Source organism: Homo sapiens, chromosome 1 (genome assembly GCF_000001405.40).
Source record: "Homo sapiens chromosome 1, GRCh38.p14 Primary Assembly".
Classification (NCBI taxonomy): domain Eukaryota; kingdom Metazoa; phylum Chordata; class Mammalia; order Primates; family Hominidae; genus Homo; species Homo sapiens.
Genome location: NC_000001.11, coordinates 96,673,101 through 96,680,363, shown reverse-complemented (window position 1 = coordinate 96,680,363; position 7,263 = coordinate 96,673,101). Strand labels below are relative to the sequence as shown.

Sequence of the window (7,263 nt, the reverse complement as noted above, 5' to 3'; positions counted from 1 at the left end):
TGGTGTGAGATGATATCTCATTGTGGTTTTGATTTGCATTTCTTGGATGACCAGTGATGGTGAGCATTTTTTCATGTGTCTGTTGGCTGCATAAATGTCTTCTTTTGAAAAGTGTTTGTTCATATCTTTTGCCTACTTTTTGATGGGGTCGTTTGTTTTTTTCTTGTAAATTTGTTTAAGTTCTTTGTAGATTCTGGGTATTAGCCCTTTGTCAGATGGGTAGATTGCAAAAATGTTCTCCCATTCTGTAGGTTGCCTGGATAGTGAACCATCTTTTAAAAAAATGGTTCAAGAAATACATCCAGGACAAATTCATTTCATAAATTTATTTTAAAATTTTTTGGATATTCATGTAGAATGAATTAAATGCACTTTCTCTTTCCCTAAGAGACCTTTCCTATGTTTTTGAGTTGACGTTTTGTGAAAAGAAAAAGATCCACATTGGTTTTTCAGTTCCTGGTTTTATAGAATTCATTCATTGAATAATTCAACAAAGATTTATTGAGTATCTACTGTGTGCTAGTCATAGTTTGCTAAGCATTTCACTTTCCCTATATTTGTACCAGGAAATATCACCAATTTGGCCTGGTTTTGGAAGATATGGACTAACCTGAATTAGTGGCATTCAAATTATGTACTTATTTTAAATTAAATATTTAAATATTGCAATTATTGGAATGAGAGATTTGACTAGTAGAAAGACCATTAAAGACAAAAGTTTAGCTCTTTTTCCGGCTGGAACCATGGAGGGTGTAGAAGAGAAGAAGAAGGAGGTTCCTGCTGTTCCAGAAACCCTTAAGAAAAAGCGAAGGAATTTCGCAGAGCTGAAGATCAAGCGCCTGAGAAAGAAGTTTGCCCAAAAGATGCTTCGAAAGGCAAGGAGGAAGCTTATCTATGAAAAAGCAAAGCACTATCACAAGGAATATAGGCAGATGTACAGAACTGAAATTCGAATGGCGAGGATGGCAAGAAAAGCTGGCAACTTCTATGTACCTGCAGAACCCAAATTGGCGTTTGTCATCAGAATCAGAGGTATCAATGGAGTGAGCCCAAAGGTTCGAAAGGTGTTGCAGCTTCTTCGCCTTCGTCAAATCTTCAATGGAACCTTTGTGAAGCTCAACAAGGCTTCGATTAACATGCTGAGGATTGTAGAGCCATATATTGCATGGAGGTACCCCAATCTGAAGTCAGTAAATGAACTAATCTACAAGCGTGGTTATGGCAAAATCAATAAGAAGCGAATTGCTTTGACAGATAACGCTTTGATTGCTCGATCTCTTGGTAAATACGGCATCATCTGCATGGAGGATTTGATTCATGAGATCTATACTGTTGGAAAACGCTTCAAAGAGGCAAATAACTTCCTGTGGCCCTTCAAATTGTCTTCTCCACGAGGTGGAATGAAGAAAAAGACCACCCATTTTGTAGAAGGTGGAGATGCTGGCAACAGGGAGGACCAGATCAACAGGCTTATTAGAAGAATGAACTAAGGTGTCTACCATGATTATTTTTCTAAGCTGGTTGGTTAATAAACAGTACCTGCTCTCAAATTGAAAAAAAAAAAAAAAAAAAAAAAAAAAAGGACAAAAGTTTAACTCAAAAAACACTTGAAAGATCATTTAGTGAAAGAGATCACAGATATCTGCATTTAATTCCTTCTTTTAAAAATTCAAATACAAATTTACCCCATCTCTACTAAAAATACAAAAAAAAGTTAGCCGGGCGTGATAGCGGGTGCCTGTAGTCCCAGCTACTCAGAAGGCTGAGGCAGGAGAATGGCGCGAACCAGGGGGGCGGAGCTAGCAGTGAGCCGAGATCACACCACTGCACTCCAGCCTGGGAGACAGCGAGAATCCGTCTCAAAAAAAAAAAAAAAAAAATTCAAATACAAATTTAGAAAGTGAATCACACTTGGATATATTTCTTGGACAATTTTTTTCCCCACTGACTCTACTGCTCTAAATTATTAATTTGTCATTAAAGTACAAGTCAGGAATATATTTAAGGTAGGTTTAATGAGATGTTTATATGCGTGACATATCATAAAAATGTGTATTGTATAAGTTTATGGAAAAAGGGCTTTGCTAAATTATTTAATTCAGTTGAAATTTTATTAATTTTTTCTTTAGTATATTCCCTCATGTTTGACCTTAGAGGATCATGCAAGCCTTTGTAGGACTCTTAATCTATGCAGTACAGGTATGTATATTAGTGTTAATCCTTAAAAGTATGTATAGGTTTCAACTTAACAGTTTGGAAATTTTGTTACGGCTGGAACATCCAGGAAGCTAGGGTAAGCTCACATTAACTATTCAACTAGGTTTGCATTAGGGTGCTATTTCCTGCATTGGAAATGAAGAAAGGAGATGACAACAAGAAACAGAAACATCAAGTGAAAAATGGCCTGATTCTCATTTTGCCCTTTGTGGTCTCTGCATGGAGTTTTAGTTGATAATTCACTTGGAATCCTTCCAAAGTGAATTTAGGTTGTAGAATATGTTGCCAATCAACCAAATCAGAAGGTAGTGCCATAATGTATCTGAGCCTCAAAATCGATGTTCTTTTTAACAATGCCTAAATAATGTAAAAAAATCTTAATGGTTAGCCACATTTAATTTATGGGATTCAAATCAAGGTTTATCTTAAAGAACTATAACAGGATGAAGAATTTCAGTTTCTGGTTTCACATGTAAGGAGCTTAGAAGCTGTCACTTCATCCTAACATCAAGTAAAAAGCTGAGCAGACTGAAAAATAGTCAACTCTTCTAGGATCCATAAGATAGGTGAGGAAAAAAGGCAAACTGCTTCCCTCAAGATTGGAGAGAGATAAGCCAATACAAGGAGTCATGGTTTACCAGAGTAGGCACTCATGAGTGGAAATGCTGCAAGAATCAGAGCCTGAGGAGGCAAACCAGAACTATAAACTATAAACATATTGCTGGAGGCTCAGTGTGGACAAGTCTTAGAGTTAAAAACTCCAGAGTGACCCAGTCATGGAGGGTGCTCAACACTTTTGTGATATTTACCTCCAGGGGTTCAACCAGTTTAACAGAGTAAATATCGGAGAAAAATTCACTCATGTCTATAGCAGGAGGGAAAACAAAACCATTTTTAAATGTGCTAGAACACTTTGTTCTTAAGAAAGCTTGCCCTTGGAAGAAAGTAGTTAACCAGAGCTTAACCTGCTAAGGTATTATCAGAGCCTAATTGACCCAAGGAAGGGAAATACTCAGCTCCACACAGCTCTAGCCATCCTCTCCCATTGAAGGAGACAGGAAAGAACTGAGAAACACTTGTGAAGTTCACAGTCTAGAGGCATAAGTTCACAAAAAGACTGAGACTTGCTCATAGGACTATAGAACACTTCTCCTCTCCCCATATCTTAGCACCACATTACTGGAGACCTATTTCCAGCAGTTTCTTTTACCTGGTACACCATGCCCAGCTATCAGTAAAAAATTACAAGGCATACGAAGAAGCAGGAAACACACTTTGAAGAGATAGAGCACACATCAGAGTGAGACATGGCAAGGATGTTGGAATTAGCAGACTGGGGATTGAAAACAGCTATTATTACTATGCTAAGGGCTCTAATGGATAAAGCAGACAGCATGTAAGAAGAGATGGGCAATGTAAGCAGAGACATAGAAATCCTAAGAAAGAATCAAAAAGAAATGCTAGACATAAAAACCACTGTAAAATAAATAAAGAACAATGGTCTTATTACTAGACTGGACACAGCTGAGGAAAGAATCTCTGAGCTTAAGGGAATATCAATAGAAACTTCCCAAACTGAAAAGCAAAGAGAACAAAGACTGAAAAAAACAGAACAGCATATCCAAGAACTGTGGTAGAACTACAAAAGGTGTAATATATGTGCAGTGGGACTGCCAGAAAGAGAAGAAAGAGAGAAATGAACAACAACAAAAAATACTTGAAAAAATAATGGCTGAGAAGTTCACTAAATAATGTCAGATGACAAACCACAGTCCCAGGAAGTTCAGAGAACACCATGTATAATGAATGCCCAAAAAAGTATACCTAGGCATATCATTTTCAAACTACAGAAAATCAAAAAGAAAGAACAAATTCTGAAAGAAGCCAGAGGAAGAAACACCTTACCTACAGAGGAACAAAGATAAGAACTACATCAGCCTACTCAGAAACTATGCAAGCAAGAAGAGGATGGATTGAAACGTTTAAAGTTTTGGGAGAAAATACCACCAACTTAGAATTCTGTAAACTGCAAAATTATTCCTAAAAGTGAAGGAGAAATAAAGACTTTCCCAAACTAAAATTGAGGAAATTTGTTGCCAGTGGGCTTGCCTTGCAAAAAATGTTAAAATACATTTTTTAGAGAGAAAGAAAATAATATGTCAGAAACTCAGATCTACATAAAGAAAGAAAGAGCATCAATGAAGGGATATGTGAAGGTAAAATCAAAACTCTAAACAAATTCTTAATTGATATAACAGTTAACAATTTGTTCAAAACAATAATAGCAATAAGGTATTTATGTTTGCTTATGTATACATATATGCTTACATATGCTTATATATGAGCAAAATGAACAACAATAATGATACAAGGGATGGAAGGGAACAATTAGGTTTATTTTGTTATTATAAGGCACTCACACTATTGATAAAGTTATAACGGTATAATGTTATTTGAGAGTGGACTTGGATTAATTGTAAATGCATATTGCAAATTCTAGGGCAACTACTAAAAAGTAAAAAGAGAAAAGTAACTGATATGCTAAGAAAGAAGAGAAAATGGAATAATGTAAGATACTCAACGCTACATAAAGCAGAAAAAGAGTAGGAGACAAAATAGAAGCAAAGAGCAAGGGCAAAAAATAGAAAATAGAAATAAATGTGGTAGATATTATTCTAACTATCTCAATAATCCCTTTGAATACTACTAGTCTAAAGGCACCAGTTAGATTGGAGGCAGAGGAAAATGGCCAAATAGAAACCTCCACTGATTGTCCCCACCACAGGAACACCAAATTTAGCAACTATCTACACACAGGAGAGAATTAATCAGAACCAAAAATCAGGAGACCAATTACAGTATCTGGATTTAATTTCATATTGCTGAAAGAGGCACTGAAGAGGGTAGAAAAGATAGCCTTGAATTGCTGATGCCACCACTCCCCCACTCACCCTGCAGTGACCAGGTGGTGTGGAGACAGAATGAGTACACTTGGGGAGGGAGAGCACAGTGATTGTGGAAATTTGCAATGGAACTCAGTGCTGCCAACACTAGGCAGAACTCAGACGATGCTCATGGAAGGAGCATTTAGGTGATTCCTAGCAAGAGGAGATTCATCCATCCCAGTGGTCAGAATTTGAGTTTTAACAAGCCTTGCCACTATGGGCTGGAGTGCTGTGGGGTCCTAAATAAACTTATAAGGCAGTCTAGGCCACAAAGACTGCAAGTTCTAGTGCTGTGCTGGGCTTGGAGTTAGTGGACTTGGGGCACATGCAACCTAGAGAGATATCAGCTGGGGTGGCTAAGAGAGTGTTTGCATCACCACTCCCTCAGTCCTGGGCAATGCAACTCACAGCTCCAAAATAGACTCCTTCATTCTGCTTGAGGAGAGGAAAGGGAAGAGTATAGAGGACTGTGTCTTACTACTTGGATACCAGATCAGCCACAGTAGGCTAGGGCACAAGACAGAGTAGTGAGGCCTCCATTCCAGGCCCTAGCTCCCAGATGACGCTTCTATACACACCCTAGGCCAGAAGGGAACTCACGGCCTTGAAGGGAAGGACCCAGTCCTGGCAGGACTCATCACCTTCTGACTAAAGAGCCCCTGGGCCATGAATAATCAGCAGTGGTGATGAGGTAGTACACATCATGGACCTTGGGTGAGACTCTGAGACACGCTTGCTTCAGGTGTGACCCAGCACATTCAAAGCTGTGGTAGCTATCAGAAGGGATGCCTTCTGCTTGAAAAAAGCAGAGGGAAGAGTAAAGGGGACTTTGTCTTGTAGCTTAGGTACCAGCTCAGCCTCAAAGGGAGAGAGCAATAAGCAGGCTTTTGGGGTCCCTAATTCCAGGACTTGACTCTTAGAAGGCATTTCTGGACCTACCCTGTGCCAGAGGGGAGCTCACTGCCCTGAAGGGTGAGTCCCAGGCCTGGCAGCATTCACCGCAAGCTGACTGAGGAGCCCTTGGGTTAAGTAAACATCAGTGGTATCCTGGCAGTACTCCCCATGGGCCTGTGGTGATCATGGATGTGGAGAAGACTTCTCTGCCTGGGGAAAGGGAAGAAAATAATGGAAAAGACTTTGTCTTGTGGTTTGGGTGCCAGCTCAGTCACAGTAGACTAGAACACCAGATAGATTGCTAAGGTTTCCAACTCCAGGCCCTGGCTACTGGACAGAATCTCTGGACCTGCCTGGGGCCTGGGGGAACTCATCACCCTGAAGGGAAAAACGCAAGACTGGGTGGCTTTACCACCTGCTAATTATAGAACCCTAGGGCCTTGAGTGAATATAGGCAGTAGTGATGTAGTGATTAGGTAGTGATTACATTGGGCCTTGGGCAGGACCCAGTGCTGTGCTGGCTTCAGGTCTGACCTAGTGCAGTCCCAGTGGTAGTGGCCAGAGATGCTTATGCCACTCCTCCCCCTGCTCTAGGCAGCTGAGCACAGAGAGACTCCATTTGTTTGGGGAAAAGTAAGGGAAGGGAACAAGAGTCTGCCTGGGAATCCAAAGAATTCTTCCAGATCTTATCCAAGACCACCAAAGTGGTACCTCTATGAGTCTGTAAGAACCACAGCATTACTGTGCTTGGCATACCCCTTAATGCAGATATGGCTGCAGTGACCAAAAACTTACATCACAACGCTCAAGTCCCTCTGAATATCTGGAAAGCAATCCCAAGAAGAATGGGTACAAGCAAGCCCAGACTGTGAACTTACAGTACATACCTAACTCTTCAATAGCCAGACACCAAAAAACATCCCCAAGCATAAAGACGATCCAGTAAAACATGACCTTTCCAAACAAACTAAATAAAGTCTCTGAGACATGAAAGACCAGTCCCAGAGAGACAGAGATATTTGACCTTTCAGACAGAGAATTCAAAATAGCTATTTTGAGAAAACTTAAAGAAATTCAAGCCAGGCATGGTGGCTCATACCTGTAATCCCAGCACTTTGGTAGGCCGAGGTGGGTGGATCACCTGAGGTCAGGAGTTTGAGACCAGCCTGACCAACATAGAGAAACCCTGTCTCTACTAAAAATACAA

The 7,263-nt window shown here is 40.0% G+C and overlaps 1 pseudogene; it reads left to right on the top strand.

Annotated features, from left to right (window-relative positions):
• RPL7P9 (ribosomal protein L7 pseudogene 9) lies at positions 724–1,556 on the top strand (annotated as a pseudogene).